At 42.9% G+C, this 27,761-nt stretch overlaps 1 protein-coding gene across 12 annotated transcripts in view; it reads left to right on the forward strand.

Moving 5' to 3' along the window:
• PDE8A (phosphodiesterase 8A) overlaps window positions 1-27,761 on the forward strand; it is a 158,676-nt gene that overhangs the window by 96,843 nt on the left and 34,072 nt on the right. For 7 of the 12 annotated variants that reach the window (XR_007064457.1, NM_001243137.2, NM_002605.3 and 4 more), the window contains 6 exons: window positions 6,247-6,335; window positions 12,029-12,107; window positions 13,735-13,872; window positions 20,639-20,727; window positions 22,706-22,757; window positions 22,847-22,889. Coding sequence is in view for 10 of the 12 variants with exons in the window: in NM_001243137.2 (NP_001230066.1) it covers window positions 6,247-6,335; window positions 12,029-12,107; window positions 13,735-13,872; window positions 20,639-20,727; window positions 22,706-22,757; window positions 22,847-22,889 (490 nt within the window). In the remaining 2 variants the exon portion in view is untranslated. Of the gene's footprint in view, window positions 1-6,246; window positions 6,336-12,028; window positions 12,108-13,515; window positions 13,607-13,734; window positions 13,873-14,613; window positions 15,408-20,638; window positions 20,728-22,705; window positions 22,758-22,846; window positions 22,890-27,761 lie in introns of those variants that run through there. The other 5 variants (XM_047432657.1, NM_173454.1, XM_047432659.1 and 2 more) reach the window with 4 other exon arrangements.

Consider the following 27,761-nt stretch of genomic DNA (forward strand, 5'->3'; position numbering starts at 1 on the left):
CCCTAAGCCAAAAGGTTGCTTGGGGCTTTGGTCAGCTGGCTGCAAATGAGGCCTTAGGAATCATACAGAGAGAACTTAAATAAGGCTGACCCTTGGGCAGATTTGTAGCCCAGGTTAGTATAAGAAAGGTAGTCAAGAAATCTCAAGCCATGAATTTAGTTTCAAGTTTTCTGGATGAGTAGGACTCCTAAGTGCCTGGCAGAAGCAAATATAAATCCTCCCCAGAGGAAGACAGCTTCATCTTTGCCCGCAGAGGATCTCCATAAATAATTGCTCAAGGGCAGCCGGCAGCAGTCAGTCAAAGCTGGAGTCAATCCACCAGGTGACAGGGCATCCCAAGGAAAAACTAGGAGGGAAAAAAGCCTAGTAACAGACCCTCACACCCCTCAGAGATTAGTTATGAGATATGAATTATAAAGCAAGTATGCTTACTATAGGTAAAGAAATAAAAGATAAACCAGGAAATATCTGCAAGGAATAGGAAACTATTAAAAGTGGCATAGCAAATTTTATGAGGAACAAAACTGAATTGTAAGAAATGAAAACACAGTAATTGAACAATTTAAAACTTAGTAAGTCACATGTAGCACAGAAATACAATGACAGGAAATAAGTTAGACAGGTGAAGAAATGTGGAGGATAGTGTGTGAAGTTTTAGTTGTGTATATGTAACTGGAGTTCCAGGAGAAGAGGAAGGATAGAACAGAGGAAATATTTGAAGAGTTACTAGCTGAAAATTTTCCAGAACTGATGAAAAACTAATTCATAGATTCATGAATTCTGACATATCCAAAGTAGAGTAAATTTTAAAAGAGGACACATCCTAGTGAAACTGCAAAAAAAAAAAAAAAGAAAAGGACTTAAAATCAGCCACAGGTAAAAGATTACCTTCAAAAGACTGACACACACACTAACAGCTAGCTTCTCAGCAGCAACAAGTGGAAAACAAGACAGTGGAATAACATTTTCAATGCAATAAAAGAAAATAACTTCCTTGGGAGGCCGAGGTGGGCAGATCACGAGGTCAGGAGATTGAGACCATCCTGGCCAACATGGTGAAACCCTGTCTTGACTAAAAATACAAAAATTAGCTGGGCATGGTGGTGCACACCTGTAATCCCAGCTACTTGGGAGGCTGAGGCAGGAGAATCGCCTGAACCAGGGATTTGGAGGTAGGTTGCAGTGAGCCGAGATTGTGCCACTGCACTCCAGCCTGGCAACAGAGCGATACTCCATCTCAAAAAAAAAAAAAAAAAAAAAAGAAAGAAAAGAAAAGAACTTCCTAGAATTTTATACCTAGCATACATATCTTTCAACAATGAAGGTGAAATAAAGACTTTCAGAAATGTGGACATTGAGAGAATTTGTAACTAGCAGATCCTCACAAGGAAATGCTAAAGGATATACTTCAACCAGAAGGAATGTGAATTCCAGGTGGAAGGTCTGAAATGCAAGAGATGAGTAAAGAAAATGGTCTGTATAGGGTAAATATAAATACATATTTACTGTATGAAACAATAATAATGTCTAGTTTGATGAGAGGATACAGGGAGAAAGAGACTACAAACTAATCATATATCTAGCCAAGTTATTGTTTAACCTTTCTTTTGGGGATATACATAAAATTCAGAGATATAGTTCCCCAAGGAAAATAATTCAGAAAAGGACTCTAACCATATAAGAAATGAACTACAACAGAAATTTGAAGAGGAGAGGAGGGAAAAGTAGTGAGCTATAAACCCTGCCATGTGCATACTCCTTCATGGTGCCTCCTGCTTTCTCTGGCTCTCTGTCTTTCTTTATAGATGTACCCACACTTATGCATATATGTATAAGATTAGTCCCAAACAGATAAACATAGACTAGAATATATAATATTCTTTTAAAAGAAGGGACATACTCAAAGAGGAATTTTAATAATAGCTCACTTTTAAATTCTAGACTATCTTAGTCAACGCTAGGTGTTTGTAAGGTTTGTGGGGAGGATGCAGGCATTCTTACAGACTTATCTAAGAGGTAGAGTGAGAATGAGCCCAAGAAGTATTCATCTTTGTGGGAAATGTTCTATGTGGGAAATACTTTATTCTGGGGGTAATTGGTATCTTGTTTTCAAATAATAGTAAAGAAATCTATGTCTGCTTTTGAGATGATGAAAAGGAGGGTAACCGCTGATAGAACAGGAAACTTAAGTAAAACTTCCAAAATAACAAGAGGAAATAGGGAGTTTACAGCAACTTGATCAAATTGAGAAGCTGAAGAAAGATGAAACAACAGTGTAAAATCAGTGAGAAACACAAAGTCAGATAGAAAGAATAGAAGCAGGCTGGGCACGGTGGCTCACGCCTGTAATCCCAACACTTTGGGAGGCTGAGGCAGGTGGATCACCTGAGGTCAAGAGTTCCAGACCAGCCTGGCCAGCATGGCGAAACCCCGTCTCTACTAAAAATCCAAAAATTACCCGGGCATGGTGGCGCACACCTGTAATCCCAGCTACTCAGGAGGCTGAAGAAGGAGAATCCCTTGAACCCAGGAGGTGGAGGTTGCAGTGAGCTGAGATTGCACCACTGCACTCCAGCCTGCACAGTGGGAGCAAGACTCCATCTCAAAAAAAAAAAGAAAGAATAAAAGCAAATGTATATGAATGGGCTGAATTCTTCCTTTAAAAGATAGGCTGTTAGATTGGGTTGAAAAAGTACAATTCTATAACAGTTACAAGACACTTAACATGATAAAAGGAGCTTAAGTAAAAGAACATAGAGGTAGCAAGTAAATGCAGACAAAAAGAACACAGATATTGATATTGATATTAATATCAGATGAGGTGGAATTTAAGATTTTAGTTTATATGTAAATACAGTTTTATATAAAAAGCACACATTAGGTTATTGATTATATAGCTGTGGCTTTCTTGTGTTTCCCCCTTTTTGGACAACCCCCACAACATACATACACATCAGCACCTACCTCCATTCCCTGACCTCTAGTAATTCCTGTTAAATTGTATGAGAACAGTTTACTTAGCCAGCAGTAAGGCGTCCCAGGTTGGAAGTCAGAAGTCCCCTATGGATCTTTATGTCATCCCTCCCTAAGCTGCTTGCTTTTGCAACTAAGGCCGCAAAACTGGCTATTCCTTTTAACAAGAACCTTAGAAGCTTCCACTTTCTAGTGAAACTTAGGGGATAGATTATTCCCTCTGCCTTGGGTTATTTGCTTACCTACAGCCGCATGAGGTCATTAAGGCTTGTGTTTGTTTGAGGTCTCTTTGAAAGTACATAGATGCACTGTTGGAAATTTGTGCCTGGTGACTGCCGTGTTTGAAATTCTGCCCAAGAAGTCTATCAGCATAGTTCTGTGGACCAGAAAGAGCATCCTGGTAGAAGGTCAAGTAAATCATGGTCCTTATATTTTCTTAGTATTACTGTGTTATCATGGAGCTAACTTGAAAAGTAACTGACACACACACTCTTGCTGCCTCAAGCCTGCACACCTTAATCAAAATCAAGGAACCCCCTGAAGACTTCAATGGAACCACTTTTAGGTGCACGCCCCTGTGAGGACACGTCCATGCAAAAAGCCCAAAAAGCTTTACAGTAGTCACTTTAGAAGCACCTGACTTAGGAAATGTAGAGGTAGTGGCAGGCTCTCCATTTTGTAGGTGAGGAATTCATGCGGTCAACCAGTCCTCAGAGACCACTAACTAATTAGTGCTAACTAATCTCATCCAGAGTCTCTTACTTTTGTGTGACAAAAGGATGCTCAGGTTACTGAGAAGAAGAGTTAGACCTGGAGGAAGGGGATTCTCCCAGTCATGGCTGTAGGCGGTGGTGCCAAGGCTTGAATCTGAAAGCTAACACCATAATGATATCTCTGGTACAGGGGATGGGGCATAGGAAAGGCCATGAGCTATTTTGTGTTTTAGCCATGTTTCAGGATTGAAAAGTAGGTGGAGGACCTGCTAGCTTCCTCAATTGGATTTGGCCATTGAGTCGGTAGACTCACTGCTGGGTGCACATTAGAATCACCTGAATAACATCCCTAGGGAGTCTGTTTCAGTTGGTCTGGGGAGGGGCCTGCATGCTGGTGTTTTTTCAAATTGCAGATAATTCTAATATGCAGCTGAGAGTTGAGAACCACTGGGAGAGGCCTAGCAAAGATGGGCTCAGGTCCTAGCCGTGGGTGTGATATGCTTTGGAGAAAGTGAGGTTAAGTTAGCTTAGAAGTCTAGGATTTGTAGTCCCAGCCCCTTTCGTGGAAGAAGGTTAAGGGAGAGGAGACTAACCGCTGTTTAAGCAGAGGGAATAAGCTTGCTTTCTGAGGATCCCTGGACCTGATTCTTCACCCTCCATGCCCTGTGGGATCCTTGGGACAGAAACAAAAGTTGGCAAGGGGCAGGAAAGATGAGATGTTTAGATAAAGAGAACAGTGTTTAAACACGCATAGCAAAACAAAAGTTTTGAGGGAGGGGGCAAACAGGAGCAAGATGCTGTACATTTGGTCACATGCTAGTTTTTTTTACCTTGATTTCTGCCTTTGGGGTAAAAAAGTTTGGTGGATACATAACATTCAGACCAATTAAAAAGTCTGATTGCATGCATGGGAATCCATTTGTGGAAATGGATAAATACACATTCCCTCCACAGCCCTCACATCCCCTCCACAGCCCTCACATCCCAGAATCTTACCTGCGGAGGAACTGAGGACCCCTGTCTATCTCAAGGCCCCGATTCCATGTCTCCTGGAGTGGCACAAGCACTATGTCAAGAAATCTCTTTTCCCTGTCCCTGCCCAATCAGAAGTGGGTTCCTGTCCAGTGTTTTTGGGTGTTCCCATGGGGTCTTGGCTGATGGAGGTGTGGACAGCAGGTCTAGCATACTCCTCCCTTCTCAGTCGGTGGGAGCTGGCAGGCATGTCACCTCTGTCAGACCTCTGGGTAAGAAAGGGGCTCTGTTTTGGCCTATAGGTATAAGGTTTATCATGCTCCTGGTCAACAGGTCTTGCCTTCCCCTGTGGGGGTGACAGTAGCTGTTCTTTACATTTATGCAGCAGTTTGTACTTAAAATGCTTTCTCCCATCATGTCTTTTTATTCTCGGTGACCTTCATTGGGTAGGAACAGTATTATTTTTCTTGCTTTACAGTTGAGGAAACAGGCTCAGGAATGTTAGGTGCCTCATATACAATCATACAGCTTTTAAGGCACGAACCAAGGGCTAGATTTTTAGGTTGCTTGACACCCAGACAAGACCCTGATCACAGTTCAGACGGGTCATTTGCGTTCACCGTGGTAGTAGAAGGAACTCTTTAAGGGGACCCCTGTCCCAGATTGGTCTGGCTGGGGCTTATAGATAGTGATATGCAGAGGCTCTGCCTCTTAGGCATCAGCTTCCTCTTCAGCCAGGTAGAGTATTGTCCACTTATTGTGCAGGTAAAAAGCAAGGAGCTCTTTAGAAATGGGGGAGTAATGTTCACAAATATTTTTACATTTGAATAGAACTATATGACAGAACACAGTGGCTGCTAAGATGTCTTTATGGAGTATTTAATTTGATGGTGGAATGGGTCCATCTTCTCAGAACTATGTAATTCACTTTGTCGTGAGATATTTCCACTATGTAAAGGTTATACAAAATACTTAATGTCCACGGCTATAAGAGACACTGGGCAAATCCATCCATGGCTTCTGCCAGTGCCTCTGCTGTGGAAGATAATCCTCTGTCGGCTTCACTGAGCCACTGTTGGAGGTTAGTTCAGGAAAATGTTGCCCATGTTGGGGTTCCCCCTGTGAAATACAGGCGCAAATAGAAATGCAAGTATATTTTCGCTTATTGTAAACTTACATGACTTTAAAGCGGACCAAATACTGTTGTTGAATATACTCTGAAAGCCTAATATAAGTAGGACTTTAGTTAATGAATTTCCTCCTCCACATGTTCTAGCCTTGCTTTGTCAGTGACATGAAAACAACCAAAATGCTCTTAACGGAAGATGCTGAAAGAAAAGCCTTTTTTTTTTTTAAAAAAATGAAAGGCTACTAAATGATAGAAGGAAAAGCATTCTTAAACCCTATTTTTTAAAAAGCTAATCTGGTGCCCATAAAGTTTCTCTCTTACCTTCTGTTCATCATTAATGATAAAGTATTTTTTAGATTTCAGTTGCCAAGTTGAGAAGTTTGTTTAAAGAGTTATTTTTATTGGCACAAATAAAGAAGCACTTTTGTTTATCCACAAAATTCCTCTTTCTGTTTGTAGAGGTATGTAGAAAACCCCAACATCATGGCCTGCTACAATGAACTGCTCCAGCTGGAGTTTGGAGAGGTGCGATCACAACTGAAACTCAGGTAATTCTACCACTTCTGGAAAGCCCTCCAGGCCATACAGGGCAGCATGGCAAGTGAGAACTTTGGTTGTGGGGAATACTTTTGAAATGGCCTCTTGCAGAAATGGGATTGGAGAGAATGGAGTGGCAACTCCCCTCGTACAGACTTTCTGGAGTCTGCCTGGATGTCTAATAAGGGGTCATTTTAGTGATTAGAGACTCACATTTAAAGATGGAGCCCCCAAATAATAGTAAGTTTAAAAAGCAGAATACAAACTGCATATGCTGGATTATCTGTTTTGTTTTCTAAGGGGACAAAAACGGTTTTAATATACACCCCCCCAATCTATTAACATTAGTTATCTCTGGTAGGTGACATTTTTTTCTTCTCTACAATAAGCATTTTATCTGCTCTTGATAAACAGGGTTTTTTGGTTTTTTTTTTTAAGTGACATGAGTAGAGGCCTCATTCTTTGTAGAGTAAGAAAAGCAGAAAAATTAATATAATTTTATCAGCTTGACAAAAGAAAAATAAAGTCAGCAGCTTCCTATCATTTTAGGTTTCTTCCTTGGGTGTTCAACTATTCTTTAACATTTCCTTTACTAGGGATCAAAGAGAGAATTGGATCATTTCATTTGTATGTGCCCAAGACAGTCAAAGGGGATCGGAATGAGAGTACCAAGATTAATAAGGACCAGTACAGGGTTCCACGTGTAGGGAAGATAGGTACTTTATAGACAAAATGAAATGAATGATTAGCGGGCAGAGTGTGAGTTAGCAGAGAAGTGCTGCTGAGCAGAGGTGTTTGAAGGCTGGTGTGGTATACAAAAGAGATTTTTACGCTGCTAGATTTTGCAAGGAAACTTAAGGTAGATGGTTGCCCTTGGGCCTGCTTTTTTCCCACTCCTGGGTCATCTCAGCCTGGCTGCAGCACTCCCACAGTGAATTAGGCTACTACCCTCTCTCAGAGGAGAGTAGAATTTTGGAGCAGTAGGTGATGTTGGAGCTTATTTTATCCAATCAAGAATCAGAAACTGAGACCCAAGGAAGTTAACTGACTTACACCCAAGATCTTGTAAGCAGCAAATGGCAAAAATAGTGCTTTAAACTGAAATCTGCATTTTCGAAACTGCATTCATTCTTTCTTCCATCTCTAAATCTGACTGTAACCTCAAACCTTTTCCTCCTGTGTACCTTAGCTGTCATCTACCTTGTGGTCCTAAACTAAAACCCCTGTCTCTTCTACATACGTCCCTAAATCCAGTCACTGACCAAGTCCAATTGATCTTACTAATTTTTGGAATCTGTCCACTTAATCTTCATCTCTACTGCTACTCTTAGTCTAGGTCCCTCTCTTTTTACCTGGATTATTGAAACCACCAGTTAGTCTCCCTATGTCTAGTCTTGACTCCTTCTTCATTCTCCACACAGACGTAACACAATTCCATTTGTGTTCCTGTTCTATGACACCCCAGATAGGCACCCACTGCGTTCAAGATGAAGTCCAAACTCCAAAATGTAGCCTACAAGGGTCTCCATGGTCTGTACACTGCTTACCTCTCTGTCCTCATCTCCCATCATGCCCTGCTTTGTTCTCTGTGCTCCAGCTGGCAGCCAAATTATGATGTCCATTATACAGGGAGATATAAAAATATAAAGGGAAAGGAAATGTGAGGCTAGAGAATTGGGAGAAATAGAGTCTTGTTCTTTCAGATACTAAAATGCACTAAAAAGCTGTAACAAGCAGGGGTGTTACTGCTAGATTGGTAAACTAGAATATAAAAACCAGAAACAGGCCGGGCACGGTGGCTCATGCCTGTAATCCCACCACTTTGGGAGACTGAGGCGGGCGGATCACAAGGTCAGGAGTTCGAGACAAGCCTGGCCAACATGGCGAAACCCTGTCTCTATTAAAAATACTAAAATTAGCCGGGCATGGTGGTGAGCACCTGTAATCCCAGCTACTCAGGAGGCTGAGACAGGAGAGGTTGCAGTGAGCTGAGATCGTGCCATTGCACTCCAGCCTGGGCAACAAGAGCAAGACTCTGTCTCAAAAAAAAAAAAAACAGACTTGGATATATTTAAGAATTTAGTAGATGATCGGCTGGGCAGGGTGGCTCACGCCTGTAATCTCTGCACTTTGGGAGGCTGAGGTTGGTGGATCACCTGAGGTCAGGAGTTCGAGACCAGCCTGGCCAACATGATGAAACCCCGTCTCTACTAAAAAAAATACAAAAAATTAGCTGGGCGTGGTGGCGCATGCCTGTCATCCCAGCTACTTGGGAGGCTGAGGCAGGATAATCACTGGAACCCGGGAGGCGAAGGTTGCAGTGAGCTGAGATCGAGCCACTGCACTCCAGCCTGGGCAACAAGAGCAAAACTCCATCTCAAAAAGTAAAAAAAAAAAAAAAAGAATTTAGCATATGATTACATGGCATTTTAAATCAACACGGGAAAAAGTGGACTTTTCAGTGACTAGAGTTGTGATAGTTGGTTGACTAGCTGGAAAGAAAGTTAAGCTACGTTCCAATCTCATGTCCTACCCGCAAAATGAACTCCAATGAATTAAAGACTTAAATGTGAAAAAGTAGGGCTACGTAAGTACTAAAAAATAAAAGTGGACATACATAATTGGATGACGAAGTCATTATAAACTAACACTTATAAAAGCCACATTTTATAAAGGAAGATAATCAGATTAGACAACATAAAAATGTTAAGCTTATCTACAGTTAAAATAAACCTTAAATAATGTTCAAAATTTAGACAAATGACTAACTGGGAAAAATATGTTTGTAACATATAGGACAGACATTAGGTTAATATCCTCATAAATACATGAAGAGCTTTGATTAATCAATTGAAAAATGATCAATTAAAAATTAGAAAAATATTAAAAGACATGTTCAAGTGGTTCACAAGAGATATTAATGGCCAATAAATGTGAAAAGATGTTCAACCTCACTAATAAAGACATGCAAATGATTTAACATTTTTTTATTTACCGTATCTGCGAAAGTTAAAAAAAAGTATGATAAAACCCAGTAGGGCTTCTCACAGATCCATCTCCGCCAAGCTTGTTATATTGGAGGTGAGAACTTCTTACTGTTTTTTGCTTTTTTTATTTTTTATTTTTTTATTTTTTGAGATAGAGTCTCACTCCGTTGCCCAGGCTGGAGTGCAGTGGCATGATCTCTGCTCACTGCAACCTTCACCTCCCAGGTTCAAGCGATTCTCCTGCCTCAGCCTCCCAAGTAGCTGGTATTACAGAGGTATGTGCCACCAGGTCTGGCTAATTTTTTGTTGTTATTGTATTTTTTAGTAGATACGGGGTTTCACCATTTTGGTCAGGCCGGTCTCAAACTCTGACTAGTGCTAGGATTACAGGTGTGAGCCACCATGCCCAGCATGTTTTTTGCTTTTTTTTTTTTTTTTAATAACAACTTTATTGAGCTATAAATTTACATATTATCTCCTGGTTTTTTTTACATGCTAAAAATGAGCTAATTTTTATTGGCTAAGCTATTGTCTTTAGTGAGACAGTTTAGTAATACCAGCAATAATGTAAAGGCATTGTTTTTTTTATTTACTTATTTAGAGACAGGGTCTCACTCTGTTGCCTGGGCTGGAGTGCAGTTGTGTGATCACTGCTCACTGCATCCTTGACCTCTTGGGCTCAAGCAGTCCTCCCACCTCAGCTTCTCAAGTAGCTAGGACTACAGATGTATACCACCAGGCCAGCTAATTTTTTATTTTTTGTAGAGACAGGGTTTTGCCATGTTGCCCAGCTGGTCTTGAACACCTGGACTCAAGCGATCTGCCTACTTCTGCCTCCCAGAGTGCTGGCATTACAGGTGTGATCCACCGTGCCTGGCCAGCATTGTTATTTTTAGAGTTTACTTAGTAGTATCTCTGCACTTTATAAGCAGGCAGTTTTCTTTTTTTTCATCTTCTGAGGCCAGAGAATCTTAAAATCATTCTTTGGGAGATTACTTATACAAGGAAAAAACCTGGAAGCAACCTAAATGTCTAGTGATAGGGGATTTATTGAATAAATCATAATATAATCTTAGAATATTATATAGTTATTTAAAGTGATGATAAAGAATGAAAATTATTGATATGGAAAGATTAATGTATAGTGTGCCAGTGAGAAAAGCAGATTATAAAACTGTAGAGTATGATCTTGTTTTTGTATGCATATTACATATGCATTTGTACAAGTTAATGCCTAGAACATTTTTCAATGCTTATTGAAAATAATTAGATTTTTTTCTATAAAATAGAATGTTGAGACGTCTGGGTATTGGGATTTCAGGTTATTTGATCTTATTATTTTTAAACAGCCTTATTAAGGTATAGTCAAAGGATTTTAGTATATTCATAGAGTTGTGCTTCAGTCATCACAATTTTAGAACATTTTTATTATCCCCAGCCCAGGCTGTAGTGCAGTGATGCAATCTCGGCTCACTGCAACCTCTGCTTCCTGGGTTCAAGAGATTCTCCTGCCTCAGGTTCCTGAAGTAGCTGGGATTACAGGCGCCTGCCACCATGCCTTGCTAATCTTTTTTTTGTATTTTTAGTAGAGACGGGGTTTCACCACGTTGGCCAGGCTGGTCTTGAACTGCTGACCTCAGGTGATCCACCCGCCTCAGCCTCCCAAAGTGTTGGGATTAGGGGCATGAGCCACTACCCCCAGCCCAATCTACTTTCTGTCTCTGCAGATTTGCGTATTCTGGACATTTCATACACTGTGTGATCCTTGTGACTGGCTTACGGTTTTCAAGGTTCATTCATGTTAGGGCATATATCAAGACTTCGTGTCCTTTTATGTCTGCATAATATTCCATTGTATGGATATACCACATTTTGTTTATCCATTCATCAGTTGATGGACATTTGGGTTTTTTCCATTTTTTGGCTTTTCTGAGTAATACTGCTATGAACATTTGCGTATAAGTTTTTGTGTGGACATAATGGGGCTGTTTCCCAAAAAGGGGCTGCACTTTTTTACATTCCCACCAGCAGTGTAGGAGGGTTCCTCACTAATACATGTTATCGACTGTCTTTTTTATTATTCAAGTGGGTGTGATATAGTGTTCCACTTATTTTTGTTAATGTTTATTTTCTAATTTTTTTCAATAAACATTGTCACTTGTATAATTTTAAAAATGTTTTCAAACACGAAGGATGTGAGAAAATGCTCACAGAAGAAGGCTAAGTGAAGAAAGCAGGAAGCAAAGCTAGTCTTTCCAGATGCCCTCAATTTTGTGAAAATAATTTGTTTAAAATAATAGGTAGAAATGATTGCCTTCTCTTTGCCAGGCTCTGTGCAGTATTCTTGACTCTATTCTCTTATTTAGTCTTCATGAAGACTCTAAGGTGGTGAAAGGGAAGGCTTGATGGGGTTCAGTCACTTGCCCAGGGTCCCACAGCTGCTGAAGAGCTGTGATTTGACCGTGGTATGTGGCCACCCTGGCTCACTGGCCCAATGTGTCTTTCCTTCATATTGGAAGGAAAGATACCGCAGTGTGTACATAGTGGTGATTCCAGTGGAGGGGCTTGCAGGGGGGTGTTTATTTCTTTTTATGTTTTAAAATATTTTCTCCCTTCCTTATAAATCGGACAAAAAATACATTTAAATAATGTAATAACCCAAGATTTTATTTTGTAGTATTTACATTAATCATTCCTTTTTTTGTTTACTCATAAAGGGCTTGTAACTCAGTATTCACTGCATTAGAAAACAGTGAAGATGCAATTGAAATTACAAGCGAAGACCGTTTTATACAGGTTTGTTATTTTGGAAATCTGTCTTTCTGGATTTCTTGTTTTGCTTTTTCCAACTTTTAGGATTGAACCTCTCCAATATGATTTTTTTTTTTCTTTTTGAAGTTTAGGAGACCAGTTTTTCCTTCGAGGATTATCAGAACAAAATCAAATATGTAATTTAAAATAAGCTCTCTATAGATTAGAAAACATACTAATAATTAAGGTGCTAGAAAATGCCTGTAGAAATGCCACATTTGCATTCATTATTTCCACTAGTTTGTTTATTTAACAAGGAGAGACTCACTGAAAAGGATGATTGCTGGGGGCTTGGGGGTAGTGCTGTTGTACGAAGGGGAATGCCCTGACCATAGGTCTGCAAGTACAAGTCTTTCACCTTTCTCACTGTTTTTGAAGATAATTTGCACTTACAGAAATATACTAGAAACAACTAAAAGTTTCAGAAATAACATACCTAGTAAGTGCTGAATAAATTACACATTATTAGCAAAGTGGGTTTATATGAGTGACTTAAGGCAACATAGCTTAATGTTTTCAGATAACAGCAAAAAAGGGAGTTGCACCAGAAAAAGACATTCATTTTGTCTGAGAATTAGCTCCACTTTGGAGCTCTCCAGTCTTTCTTACTTCTGGGCTCTCCAGTCTTTCACTTTAATATGACTTGTGACTTCCTTGTTGAAGAGGTGATGGTGTTGACTTTGAGTTGGTGCCCTGAGAGGCAGCGTGGGCCAGTGTTTGAGGGCACAGGCTTTGGTGTCAGACGGGCCTGGGCTCCATCCTGCTTCAGCTGAACAACTTTGGGCAAGTTGTTTAATCCAGCTGAATCTGCTTTCTCATCTGTGGAAATGGAAATAATATTAGTAAGAACAACAGCCTGCCTTTTGTAAGGATGTCATGAGGACTAAATGAATTAATGTATGTGAAGTGTTTACTATAGTGCCCAGTGAGGAAAATGGACCCTGACAGATAGTATCAATTATTGTTTTATCATCATCATCATTAGCACGTGCACAGTTTTCCCATGTATTTTCTGCTTATCTTACAGTCATATCTGAAACTTAACCATAAAGCCTTACATTTGTAATTACTTCTTAGTTCATAGCCTGCTTTCCATACACATCATTTATTCGAACCATATGAAAGAGACAAGAGAACTGTTTCATTCCCATATCCGGATAAGAGTCTCAGAGGGATTAAGTGACTTGCTGAGGTCAATGTGTGGAGGGGGAGGACAGCCTGAGTGTTTTGCACTCTACCTGGTGCTTTATTCCATCATCCCCCCACCCCCACCCCCATCTAAACAGCCCTGTTGTAGCAGCTCCTGGTTTGGCGCTGTGCACATCCCTTCCTCTGCCCCTGTTGAAGTGGGAGTGGGCCTGCTGCCCTCCTGGAGCCTCAGGAGAACATAGCAGAAAGCCCAGCCGGGTATCACCCAAGCAGAAGCTCGTCTGGGCTCCAGAATTCTTCGTGGGTTATGTGCTTATGGCTTCACAACTGCCACGGTGAGGTCCAGGCTCCTGAGCTTTTTCTGGGGAAAAACCTGAAGGGCTTAGGTCGAAGACCTTTGATTGTCCTCTTTTTCAAAATGACTTTTAATTCACTTTATGTTTTTTCTTTTGTCTCCCTTCAGTATGCAAATCCTGCATTTGAAACAACAATGGGCTATCAGTCAGGTGAATTAATAGGGAAGGAGTTAGGAGAAGTGCCTATAAATGAAAAAAAGGCTGACTTGCTCGATACTATAAATTCATGCATCAGGATAGGCAAGGTAAGTAAGAGGTCAGTGCCTTTTTTAACTTTCACAACACAGAGAGAAGGAAGACTTAGTGTTCATTGAGTACTACCAGGTAATCTTAATCTTACTCCTCCCAGCAGCCCAGGGAAGTATAGGGAATGTTATCCCTGTTATATCCATTTTGCAGGTGAGGAAACTGGGGCCAAGAAAATATATAATATGATTAGCCAATAAGCAAAGTAACTTGAATTGACACTTAACAATCATTGTTTTTATCTTTGTAGTAAGTTAATAACTTGATATTTCTAATAATTGGTCTTCTTAGTTGTAGATGTTGGCAAATGGTTCTGGGTAAAGAATTGCCAGTAAGGCAACACATTCTCAGAAAACATCTGAGCCCAAGATTTCTCCAAGCCTCGTTAATTCATTGAGCATTTTAAAAATGCCTTCTGTTAGCCAGACACTGTGCTAGATTCTGGTATGGAAAGAAGAGCAAAACAAAAATTCCTGCCTTAGAGAGCTCATATTCAGGGGTTGGAAACAGACAAATAAAAGTAACTATTATTCAATAATGTAAGAAGTCACATAATCATGGTGCTGAAGGAACAGGCAGAAGAAAGGCAGGCTCAGTCTGAAAGGTTATTTCTGTGAACCACAGCCTCTGATAGTGCCTCACTGTGACAGATTTTAAAATATGATGAGAAGGAAAAGGCTACTGCTTTTCACAATCATTCATGGTCCTTTCTGCTGGACTTTTTTTTTTTTTTTTTTTTGCTTTTGGAAGTTGGGTAGAGACTATTAATCTGATTATTTCAAACATTTGAAAAATTGGTGACTTGTGCAGCCTGCTCTGTGGAGGCACTGATGGAAGTGATACTGTCTCCCCTATGGCATTTGGCTAGTTCCTATCTTGTAGCACAAAACAGCAGCTTACCACAGGGGCAGGGTGCTGTGCAAAGCTTATACTCCGCTCATCTTGGACCCCATGAAGACACCATGAATGGGCCTGTTTTTCTTGCCTTTCCTATGCCTCTGAGCACACAACATTGCCTTGAAGTGAGAACAAGGAAATAATAGGCCAGCTGCAGGGGCCCAGTGAAGCCCTGCCAGGGGAATGACAAAAGTAGGCACTGCTCTATTTTGCCTTCAACTTTTCTGTCAAGGATTTTTTTTGTTGTTGTTTTTTTTTGTTTTGTTTCGTTTTTTTACTAGAGGGAGTGGAAGGTCCTCTAGAAAGAGAGGTATGAAGGCTGAGATGGATGAAGAGACCCTCAGGTGCTCAGGTGCACCATGTAGGTGAGGGCAAGTATTCCTTTCCATGGTTGAGAAGAGCATACTCAGAAGGAGGCCACAGAGCAGCAGTCATCCGAGACCACAGCAGCCATGGTGGGGGTGTTACCATGACCACCTCAATCCTGGCATTTAGGTTCCTTGCTGCTACTGGATGAGCCAGTGGTTTTGTTGTGAGGTTCAACTGGGTATGAACCAGGATGGGCCTTGTACACCTTGATGTGGCAGAACTTCCACTGAGGCATTCCATGTCCCTCTCACTGAGGAGGCAAGTAGAGGTAAGGAAGGGATGTGCTATAAGTGCTGGGCTCCATCCAGTTCTGTGTGAACTGTGTCTCACCTTTGCTGGGGTTGTGCTCTTGGGCACCAGGTAACAAAAGCCCTCAAACTTGAATAGCAAGAGACCTGCTCTCTAAAATTATACTTATTGTGAGCAAGGAATAGGAAACATCATCAAATTATTGACCCCTATACTGCTTTCCTTTTTTTTTTTTTTTTCTTGAGACAGGGTCTCATTCTGTCACCCAAGCCGGAATGCAGAGGTGCAACAGCCTTGACCTCCTGGGCTCAGGCAGTCCTCCCACCTCAGCCTCCTGAGTTGCTGGGACCACGGGCACATGCCGTCATGCCTAATTTTTTAATTATTTGTAGAGACGGGTTCTCTGTATGTTGTCCAGGTTGGTCTCGAACTCCTGGGCTCAAGCAGTCCGATAATCGGCCACCCAAAGTTTTGGGATTACAGGTGTGAGCCACTGCAGCTGGCCTGTACTGCTTTATTTCTAAAAAGAGCCTGGGTATTTGTTTCGTTTTTCACAGTTTTTGGGGAGCATGGAAAAGCAACCTTTGTCCTTTGTCAGGAACCTGCTGGTCTATGGGCAACATGGCAGCAGGGCAGGCCGCTGAGCTGGCCTGTGTTTTGAGGTGAAAGAATCCATAATTCCATCTCCGGGGAACAGGGCTTGTTGAGGGGTCAGCAGGCCTTATGGAACAGTGGCACTGTGATCAGGAAGGGGAATTCAGGCATCTGCTGGAGACCAGCATTGCAGAATGGAGACTTAGGAAATGGCCAGATGGCTAGGAGTTGGGACCTTGGAGTGTCAGATGCTAGGTGTTGGATATTGAAGTTTGACCTTGGGGCAGAAGAGAAATTTTGCTGATGTTCAAGCAGGGAATATTATAAACATTTTCCATCTCCACAAACCCTGCTGCCCATTGTTGTCAGTGGCTCCTCTTTTGGGTAAAAATAACAGGTATGTTGATTTCCAGCCCCCGCACTTAGGCTTCTTTGCATCCTATATGTATATCCACCTGACTCTTCTCTTTTTTCTTCTTCCCCAAGACTTGTCTATCAGGGCTTTAGAACCCATAGTCTCCCATCTTCTCAGATACCTAAACTTTATATTGTCAATTCTCTTTTAGAGATCTTTTTTTTTTTTCTTGAGACATGGACTTGATCTGTCACCCAGGCTGGAGTGCGGTGGCACGATCTTGGCTCACTGCAGCCTTGATCTCCCAGGCTCAAGCGATTTTCCCACTTCAGCCTCCCAAGTAGCTGGGACCACACGTGTCTACCATCACACCTGGCTAATTTTTTAAGCATATTTTTTAGAAATGGGGTCTCACTGTGTTGCCCAGGCTGGTCTCAAACTCCTAGGCTCAAGCAGTCCTACTCCCTCAGCTTCCCAAAGTACTGGGATTACAGGCGTGAGCCACCATGCTTGGCCTCTTTTAAAAATCTTGATTTTTTTTTTCCCTCCCTCAGAAACTGTGTGTTCTTCTTTTGTCATTTAATGGGTACCAAGTAAATGGTGGCTACTTAGATGCCTAAGATGATGATGTGCAGCTGCAGAAATCTTCAGCATTTCAAAACTTTTACCTTCATTAGCTCCTGTGCCTTTGCTTTCCTCTCACTGTCTCCCCTTTTCCTACTCTTCTTCCATTTCCTCCCAGATTTACCAGAACTCTGGCCTTTGCCCCCTACTGTTGTCCCTCAGAATGTTCCTTTGTTGTTGAAGTATCTTTTCTGCTCTGTGTAGAAATCTCACACTTCTCTGGTTTTAGTGTCAGCCTCTTTTCCAAGGTCTGGTTCAGCATCCTACTATCATCTTAATTGTCTAGCAATGGTTTTCTCTCATCTCCCAAAAACCCAATCTCTCTTCCAAATCCTGCTGTCTCTGCTCATGGACCTACCTCACAGTTGCTTTGACTTAGATTCCTGAAATGGTTTTGATCCCTTCCTCCCCGTTGGTCCCCTCCATCAAATCCACAAGCATTGATGGCTGTTAAACCCCTGTTTTGAGGGTCCATTGCCTGGGCCTGACCTTGCTCAGGGCCTTCTTCCCACACTCTGGAGTTACAGTGTGTAACTCTGTCTCCTTGTCCGGAATCCTCCATCTCCACTCGGTCCACCATACACTACTGCCTGATTAGTCTTACTGAGTCATCATTTTGTCATGTTGCTTCCTCAGCATAGAGCTCATAGTCCTCAGCTTGGCTGCCAGGATTCTATAGTTGAACCTCAGCCTACCTTTCCCATTCAGTAACAAAAGCCCCAAGTGTTCTTTGACAGTTTATCATGTGCACACACTGTGCCCACCCTGGGGATAGGATGGCTGGATGATGATGATTTAATTCTCAAGACAGCGGGTGCCAAGAGGGACTGCATCAATAGCTTGGTGCATAGCTTGTAGCAGACAGAAGGGAGGTAATAGTCTTACTCCTGTTCTGAGGGGAGCTTGGCCTGGAGAAAGAGGCCTATGCAAACCACCTGCACCCAAACCAGCTCATTTACTGAATGTTTACTGTTATGTCAGGACTTTGCTAAGAGTTTATGTGAATTACCCAACCTAATCTTCATGGTAGTACTCTAAGGTTGTACTATTATTATTCTCAGGAACTAAATATATATATATTTTTTTTCCTCAAGACAGAGTCTCACTCTGTTGCCCAGGCTGGAGTGCAGTGGGGTGATATCGGCTCACTGCAACCTCTGCCTCTCGGGTTGAAGCAATTCTCCTGCCCCAGCCTCCTGAGTAGCTGGGATTACAGGCGCCTACCAGCACGCCTGGCTAATTTTTGTACTTTTAGCAGATACGAGGTTTCACCATGTTGGCCAGGCTGGTCTCTCAAACTCCTGACCTCGTGATCTGCCTGCCTCGGCCTCCAGAAGTGCTGGGATTACAGGCGTGAGCCACTGTGCCCAGCTGGAACTAAATCTTATATGATATTTATGTAAGTAAATATTTTTTGTTTCCTCTGGTGACTGGAAAACTTATTGACTCTGTTACCCTAGCCAAGCCATTGCCTAAATTGTCCTGCTCCTTTAGATGGACTGTGGAACTTTGCCTGGAATGGCCTGTTAGCCTTGACTTGGGATCGCTCAGTCACCCAAGTCTATTCAGAAAGGACAAGAAGATCCTGAATATATATATATATATTTTTTTTATATATATATTTTTTGTTTTTGTTTTTGTTTTTTGAGACGGAGTCTCGCTCTGTCACCAGGCTGCTCACTGCAACCTCTGCCTCCTAGGTTCAAGCGATTCTCCTGCCTCAGCCTCCCGAGTAGCTGGGACTACAGGCACATGCCACTACACCCAGCTAATTTTTTGTATTTTTAGTAGAGACAGGGTTTCACCACGTTGGCCAGGGTGGTCTCAATCTCTTGACCTCGTGATCCACTCGCCTCAGCCTCCCAAAGTGCTGGGATCACAGGCGTGAGCCACTGTGCCTGGCCTGAATATATTTTTTTAAATGCTGACTGATTGAATTGGTCCCTGTAATTTTTTTCTCTCTCTTTTTTTAATGTAACAGTTTTATTGAGATGTAATTTCTATGCCATACAAGTCACCCATTGAAAGTATACTATTTGATAGCTGGGCATGGTGGTATGTGCCTGTGGTCCCAGCTACTTGGGAGGCTGAGGTAGGAGGATCACTTGAGCCTGGGAGGTTGAGGCTGCAACAAGCCATGGTTGTGCCACTGCACTCCAGCCTGGGTGAATGGCGAGAACCTGTCTCAAAAGATAAAGAAAGTATACTATTTGGTGGTTCTTAGTATATTCACAGTTTTGCAAATGTCACAATTAATTTCCCATATTCCCCTTGATAGTGAGCTTTAGAAGTAACCCTTAGACCTGTCTGCTGAAGCCTTCCTTCTAAGGTAGACATGCAAGTTGTGGACATGGAGGACAACCCACTTATTTCTGCCTAGGGAACCCTGTTTAGTCCTTGGTGGCTTTGGACTACAAGCCTCGTCCTGTGGGCTGAGCTCCCCCTCAGAACTGTACCAAGGCCCATACCTCCCTTCTACTCCAGTGTGACCTAAGGACTCAGCTGGGCTTTCTGGCTGTTTTTTGATATAGCCCTTTTTTGGTGCCCATTGTTTTCAGAATTATATCAGTAAGCATCAGTAATCATCCTTTGATTCTATCGGAGTATTCTGGTTTCTTTTTGATCTGCTTTCCCAGAGGAGTCTGAAGATGAGCTCTTATCATTGGTATTTGGATGCAGGTTGCCATGTACCAAACAAGAATATTTCAGAATTGACCTGGAGTAGGGCTCTGGATAGCAAACCTCAGCTAAGCCAACAAGGCTGCCATGGTGCTTAACACCCAGCCTGGGTCAACTCTAGGTCCTGAGGGACTCTGGAAGGCTAAGAAAGGTTATGGAATACCCTAGGGGTTCAGTGTCCTGTTGTGGGTTTTAGGGATTTCCATAGTTTAAGGGCCTTGGTGATTTTCTTGGAGGAATTCATAACATTTTAGGACGGTGACAAAACCCAGCTCCATCCTGGCTTTCCCTACCACCCCAAGATAAAGGGAGTCACCACAGCCCGGTTCTCTTGCTGTGGTCTTGTTCTGTGTAGCCCTCTTTCCCCAGGCTGCACTTCCTGTCTGAAAGAATCCCCACGTTCTGTGTCTGATCAGGAGAGCACAGCTAATGTGATTTCAGCCCTGGGTTTTGAGGTCTCGTCGTTTGTTTTACTTGAGCTTGGTCCTGGCTGTTATCTCATCCTCCACACCCTATATACAGGGGGTGAAGCCTTCACACATCCCAGAAGGGCCTCAAGCCATTTAGTTCACCTCAGAAGCCGGTAGTGGCCACATAATGGTCCCTTCTGGCCCCCAGTCTGGCTATTCTTCCCCTCCCAAACACAGGGGCAGAGGCTAAGCCCCCTCTTCCACTTCAGCAGGTGGGAGTTATGAGAGGAGGAAGTAAGGGGGAGTGCCCTTTATTTGGGGGTCCAGGACCCCTCTTGTCTGCAGATGGCCACTGAAAATATATGACCACTTAGACTATGGTGACCTGACTTTTGTCAGCAACTCAGAAGGAGGTGGACTTTGGAAGTTAAGAAAGAATTGTCCTATTACCTGAAATCAGTTTGGGGTTGGGATCATTTTTTATCTTAATTGCTTTAGCAATGTAAGTGAATCAGAACTGAAGTGGAAAATGTTCTTGGGTTTATGTTTTCAACACAAAGTATGACGATGCTTACATTCCATTTATAGGAGTGGCAAGGAATTTACTATGCCAAAAAGAAAAACGGAGATAATATACAACAAAATGTGAAGATAATACCTGTCATTGGACAGGGAGGGTAAGTGGAAAAAACAAGTACATCAATCAACATACAGTGTTTTGGGTTATTGCAGAATTTGCTTTGAATATTTAAGTTAAGGACTGCTGACAGAAGTGTCAAGGTCAGGTGTCATCACAGAATGGCCTTCCAGCATAGTGTTTTCTTGGTGACTTCCTCATGGCTACAGTCTGACCCTCTACTTGCAGCCCAGAGCCAACATACTCTGGGCAGTCTTGTTTAAGCTGCGTGGATACACAAGAAACTGAAGTATTTGTTTAAGTCAGAATGTCACTTTAGTAAGTTGTGTGATAATACTGACTGGTAGACTCCCTATATTGAAAAGATTTTTTATCTAATTTGATAGGCTATGTATTATTTCTGCAGAGACCTATCAAATTAGATAAAAATATTTTAAATACTAACAGTTATGGACATTCCTATATAAAACAGATGTGACTGTAGATTGGAAACCAGTATATATCAGGAGCCTAAAACTTTCAGACAGTTTATCTCAGAAACCTATCTTAAAGAAATAATATGGTAAGATGAAAATTATGAATATGAATTATAGAACACCTAAAATATTGCAGCCATTAGAAATGATGATCATATTCACAGGTTCTAAGATGAGGGCCAAAAAAAGTAGAAATGATGATCATAGAAAATTAAATTACCTCATGCCTGTAATCCCAGCACTTTGGGAGGCCAAGGTGGGAAAATCCCTTGAGCCCAGGAGTTTGGGATCCGCCTGAGCAATATAGTGAGACCCCCATCCCTACAAAAAATGTAAAAATTAGCTAGGTGTGGTGACACACACCTATCAGTTACTTCAGGGGGCCGATGTGGGAGAATCGCTTGATCTTGGGAGGTCGAGGCTGCAGTGAGCTATGATCATGCCACTGTACTCCAGCCTGGGCAACAAAGTAAGACACTGTCTCAAAAGGAAAAAAAAAAATAAAATATGAGAAAGGTTATGATACAATGTTAAATGCAAAAAGTAAAATGTAAAATGATAGCTAGTGTTTAATCTCAATCATGTAAAGAAAAGAAGGAAAAAAGAACAGGAGAAAGTATGGCAGTGGCCGTTGTAGTAACCGCTGTTGTTTAATTGAGCCCCTCCCTTCCTGGCCAGTTCTCAATGTGTGGTAAATGCCACTTCATTCCATCCTAACTGCAGCCCTGTGAGGTTGGGACTGTGATCGTCTCCACTTTACAGATGAGGAAACTGAGGCTTAGAGAGGTCAGGTTTCTAGCCCAGGGGTCCAGCTGCCAGCGTGAGGCGCAGCCAGGCTGCAGACCTCAGCACTGACTGCACAGCTCACGTGCTTTGTCACCAGGCTTTGCTGCCAGTTGGTGATCGCCTCAGGGAGATGGATCTGTGTGGGTTCTCTGTTCTGATTCTTTGCCCTTTTATGTCCTTTCCAATTTTTTTGTGGTAAGTATATAGGGATTTGATTATCAAGGGGAAAAAGTGAAAAAACTGAAGGAACAATAAATAAATGAGAAGAGTCAGCAGCCTCTGAGCTAAGCCCTCGTTGCTTTGTTTTAGACATCTAGCTAACCACGTTCAGTGTGAACCTCAACTCCCAGTGTGGCCCGCGGCTGTGGCCACCAGTGACCGTGAGCAGATTGTTTGTTGGAACTTGAAGAAAAGCATCAATGTAAAGGGTTGTGAAAATAAAAACATGTTAAGGAACTAAAGGCTCTCAGTTGGTTAACATGCAGTTCATTTTAAAAAATATGTATATTTGATTGTCTCATGATTAATTGGGAAGAATTTTGTCATTTTTACTGAAGTCACTTGTACAGAGACGCCAAAGGATGTTTGTGATCTCTTCTTTATTTATTGGTGGCCTTGGTCACAGTGAGAAGAAATGTTCTCAGAGCGTTTTGTGTATTGCAAAAGGGAGGTGCCATTTTCGTAATGAAAAATTAACGACATATCCATCAAATTAGAGACTCAGAAGAGAAATAATGCATTGTTTTTTACTTGCAGAAAAATTAGACACTATGTGTCCATTATCAGAGTGTGCAATGGCAACAATAAGGTACGTAAGGAGAGCCCCCCGGGGCCCCAGGAACACCCCAGCAAGATTTTCAGCAATCAGAACTAATGGCTTTTAAAATTCACTTTTAGGCTGAGAAAATATCCGAATGTGTTCAGTCTGACACTCATACAGGTACGGTGCCCCGTATTTATTCTTAGAGTTCATTGAGTTTTTGGAGAAAAAAAATAAAAACAGATCTTTAACTAGCTTGCCTGGTGTAATGGTGGGATTTTCCTCAGACTGTGGCAACATTTCTCTCCTTGACTCCCCAGGCTGGCTTATGAGTCACTTGTACAGAGGACTTGAGCGCTTGTGAGCATTCTGATGGGTGCCCTGGGGCGGGTCTCTGAGCCTGCGAGGGAAAGAAATGGTCAACTGAAATGCATGAACTCATGTGAAGTGTGGTTTTATAACCTGATTTATACTTTAAGAGGGTTGAGTGTTTATCCCACAGTCCTTTAACAGGGATGTCTTCATCTGTCCTGACACTTACCACTGCCAGCCTGCAGGGAGGTAGCCAGGCCCCTCGCACTTGCCTCACCTCTATGTTTCTTAACCATGCCTTGGACACCATCTGTTCTTCCCCATAGCTTTCTTACTGCAAATGCATTTCCCTGGTTTGGAGTCACCTGTTTCCTTCAAACGTGTCATGACTTCAGCAAGCCACTTCCTGTTCTGGCCCTCACAGATGAAGGGGCTGGGCTGGGATGGTGAAGCGCCACTCCAGCTTCAGGCAGGAGGTGCTCCGTCAAGTGTCTGTGTAGACACTTGGCGTGCCACCCTGCCTTGCCTGAGTAGTGTGCTCTGCTTGCCCATGTGGTCTGTAAGAGCCTCTAAGGAGAAGACTTCCCTTCATGCTGTTGGTGACATGCTTTCTGCCTTACCAGAACAGTTCATTCTTTCATTCTAGAAACACTTACTACATATTTTTGTGAGCACTTAATGTGTACAAGATACCTGTCCTAAGTGCTTTAGGTACAGCTTATTTTAATGAAGCCTTAGAATAACTCAAGGAGGTAAGCATTTTTAGGTGAAATTCTCTTTACAGGTAAGGAAACTGAAAGTTTAAGTAATCTGCCCAAGGATCTCCATTTAGGAAGTGGCAGAGCTAGCACCTGAATCCAGGAGGACTGACACTAGGGCTCTGAAGCACAGTTTTTATGGGTGCCCCAGGAGCAATCAGAGATTTAGTCTGAAAAGAGAGACACATTGACACAAAGGAACACAGCAAGTGATAAGAAGTGATCCCCAGGAATGAGAAAGGGCAGTGGGTAGTCTTCTAGACAGGGAGAGGTGGATTTGAATAGAAAAGAAATGTGAGCGGGAAAGCATTCCAGCAATAAAAACAGGCATAGAAGGGGGAAAGTACAGGGCATGTTCCAGAAAAAGCAAGTACTAAATTTTGACTTGTATAAAAGGTCAATGGGGAAAGAGGTATTTGGGTCAATAAGAATCCTTAAATGCTAGGTGGGAAGTTTCCATTTTCATCTGTGGACAGTGGGAGTCTGAGGATTTGTGAGTCAGGGAGCAGCGTGATGACATCTGAGCTTTGAGAAGCTCTTAGAGCATGTATGTAAGATTACATGGAAGGAGACACCAGAGAGAAGAATACCAGCATTGCCATGGTCGAGAGGAAAGAAAACAATGGCCAGGGAATAATAAGGTGATGACAGTAGGAAGAGAGAAGAGAGACCAGATGTGATGATGGTGTGGGACTAGAGAGAGAAAAGCAAGAAAGTCCTTGAAAAGGTTGTTTCTGAGCCTGGAGATTCAGGCAGTAGCAGTAGGGCTGGGGAGGATGAATGTGGAGAGCTCTACCTGTGAGGTCCTGGTGGGCAGTCAGGTGGGTTTGTTTGTTCACCCCTTTGCCCATTTATTCTACAGATTTCTGTTGAGTACCTGCTGAGTGCTGGCTTCTGTGTTCTGCAAAGAGGTTAGGTCTAGAGATGAAAATGTTTCTGGCCAGCCAAGCATTAGCAAGTAGCACAGATGTGGAAGTGATGGAAACCAGGGATGGTAAAGGGGAATGGAAACTTTGAGATTACAGTGGAAGAGAACAGCAAGAAAAGGAGAGGAGGGGTGAGGTGGATTCCTAGAGACCACCCACCTCCAGAGAAGGAGGAAACAGAAGCAGGAAAAGAGGGGTTAGAGGGACGAGGGAGTCTGGAGAGCGTTGCTGAAGCTGAAGGCGGGGAGAACGGGAAGCATCAAGACTGGTCAGGGCTGAAGCACACATAGGGAGGGAGGGGGATATGGAGCCAGAGATGGATAAAAACTTGTGCTTTGCATTCAAGAGCTCGTGTGTGACCTGCAGACATGCAGTTTCAGGAGAATGGCGAGGGCAGAAGCCAGATTGCAGGGGCTGGAGGAGTCAGAGTAGAAAGCAGCATGTGTGGGCCTGTTATGGAGAGTCCTACACCACAAGTTCACAGGGGGCTTTTACTTGGTTGTAAGCATTTTTTTTTTTTTAACTCTTAAGAAGAGTACCATAGGGCTGGACGCAGTGGCTCACACCTGTAATCCCACCACTTTGGGAGGCTGAGGCAGGCAGATCACCTGAGGTCGGGAGTTGAGAGCAGCCTGACCAACATGGAGAAACCTCGTCTCTACTAAAAATACAAAATTAGCCAGGCGTCGTGGCGCATGCCTGTCATCCCAGCTACTCAGGAGGCTGAGGCAGGAGAATCACTTGAACCCGGGAGGCTGAGGTTGTGGTGAGCCGAGATCGCGCCATTGTACTCCAGCCTGGGCTACAAGAGTGAAACTCCATCTCAAAAAAAAAAAAAAAAGAATACCACTGTAAAGTAGGTATGACTATTATTTATATTCCTTTATTACAGAGGAAGAAACTGAGGCTCAGAAAAGTTCAATGAGCCAGGTGTGGTGGCTCACACCTCTAATCCTAGCACTTTGGGAGGCCAAGGCAGGTGGATCGCTTGAGCCCAGGAGTTTGAGACCAGCCTAGGCAACATGGTGAAAACCTGTCTGTACCAAACATACAAAAAATTAGCCGGGTGTGGTGACACGCGCCAGTAGTCCCAGCTACAGGGGAGGCTGAGGCACGAGAATTGCTTGAACCTAGGAGGCAGAGGCTGCAGTGAGCTGAGATCGCGCCACTGCACTCCAGCCTGGGCGACAGCAAGACTCTGTCTAAAAAAAGAAAAAAGTTGAAAGACAGCCTAGAGTTGGGCAGCCGGGATATGGCAGAGCTGGGACTGAGAGGCAGAGTCAGTGATGCAGTCAGAGGAAATGTTCGGCAGGGGGAGCATCTCCCAAACTGCATTTGTACCAGGGCATTTGGTCGTTTTACTTGGTCACCGTTGACTTAGGAGTTTTACCCATCCCACCCAGGTGAGCCACTTGCCCATCCTACCTACCCCCTTAGCAGCATAACCACCTTTATGTCCAAAGGTCTCAACTGGCCATCTTCACTTGAGAAGGCAGGGTGGAGCTGTTATAGGCCATGGGCCAGCCAAAGTCCTTGGTTATACACAACAGAAATCAATTCTTCAGCAGAAAAGGAGTTTTTTCTGGAAGGAAATAGGGTTGCTTATAGATTGGACAACAAAGCTCTAGAACTAGTTTTGGAAAAGGAAGCAAGAACCTGGGGAAGCTGAGCAATTGTCCCCACTGCCGTAGGCATGCCATAGGAGCACTGTGCTTAGGGGGCCACTGCTGTCACTACTGAGCTTTGAGCACCACTGGCCCTGTTGAGATCTGGTTATAGGGTGTTGCTGTTCTCACCACGGGTAGCATAGCTTCTTCACACCTCGCTTCCTTACCTCACTCAAAAGCAGACTCTTGGAAGGAAGCACTCATTTGTCTGGGCCTGTGTCACCTACTCTGTCACTAACTGGGTATGGAGCAGTGGAGTCTCTGGCCTTCTCCCTCCCCTACTGAGAGGACTTAGTACTCCCAGACATGGGAAGGAAGGTTCAGGGTCTGGGCATCCAAAAGAGTAATAAAATCCCAATACATGCTCCCTTTTCCCTGGCCCATGTGTTGTTTTCACGTGACACTGTCTCACTGAGGACACCAAATTGTAGTGACAACTGTCCAGTCTATTGACTTGTTCTAGGTCAGGCCCTGAGCCTGACTGTAAGCATACAGAAATGAACATGAGTTTCGCTGTCTGGTGGCAGGAGAAAATAATTTGAATATGCTGTGGTTTGTAGTACCACACTGGAGAAAAGCTGGGGAATGCTTCCCAGCAATGATGATGATGATGGTTGACCTGGTGTCTGAAGAGAAGTAGGGGTCATGCAGAGGACAAGATGGGAGAAGCAGCACCCATAAAGGCATCGCGAAGCGAGGCTGGGGCAGGCCAGTTTGGATTCATCCTGTAGGCAGAGGAAGACCAAGGGAATCTTTATAAATAGGTAAATGGGAAAGGGTCAGGTCTTAGGAAGACAGTCATGGAGAAAAGAGATTGAAGACAAAGTAACTCCTGAATCCAGCCTCAGGAGCCCAATCAGAGACTGGATTCAGGAGTTACTTAAGTATAATCAGTAGGATTTGGGAACCAGCTTACTGTGTGGGATAAAGAGAAGACTTCAGAATGACACCAAGATATCTAGCTTGGCCACTGGATAACATTAGTTAAAATAACAAGTGCAAATAAGATCGTAAGAAAGAGCAGGTTTGTACAGGGAGTGGATAGTAAGTTTAGATTTGAACTTACCACATCTGAAGTGATAAGCCAAAACTTTTGGCCCTGGGCCAACTATTCTGAAGAGAGAAAGTGAGGCAGGAAGACTGAGTACCAAGAAAGGAGTCCAGCAATAATAGACGTGAATAATGGCCAGGGGAGCACTGAGGAGCAGGATGAATTCATTCATTCATCATTCATCCAAACTCAGTGCAGTTGTGTCTCTGCTTGCAAGATATGTTTCTATCTGGGGGTGAGGTAAACAGTAAGCAAATAAACATACAGTATATCAGATGGTGCTAAGTTCTGTGGAGAAGAATAAAGCCAGGGGATTGGGCATGCAGGGGATGAGGAGG

The sequence above is a fragment of the Homo sapiens genome, chromosome 15 (assembly GCF_000001405.40).
Source record: "Homo sapiens chromosome 15, GRCh38.p14 Primary Assembly".
NCBI classification, from domain to species: Eukaryota; Metazoa; Chordata; class Mammalia; order Primates; family Hominidae; genus Homo; species Homo sapiens.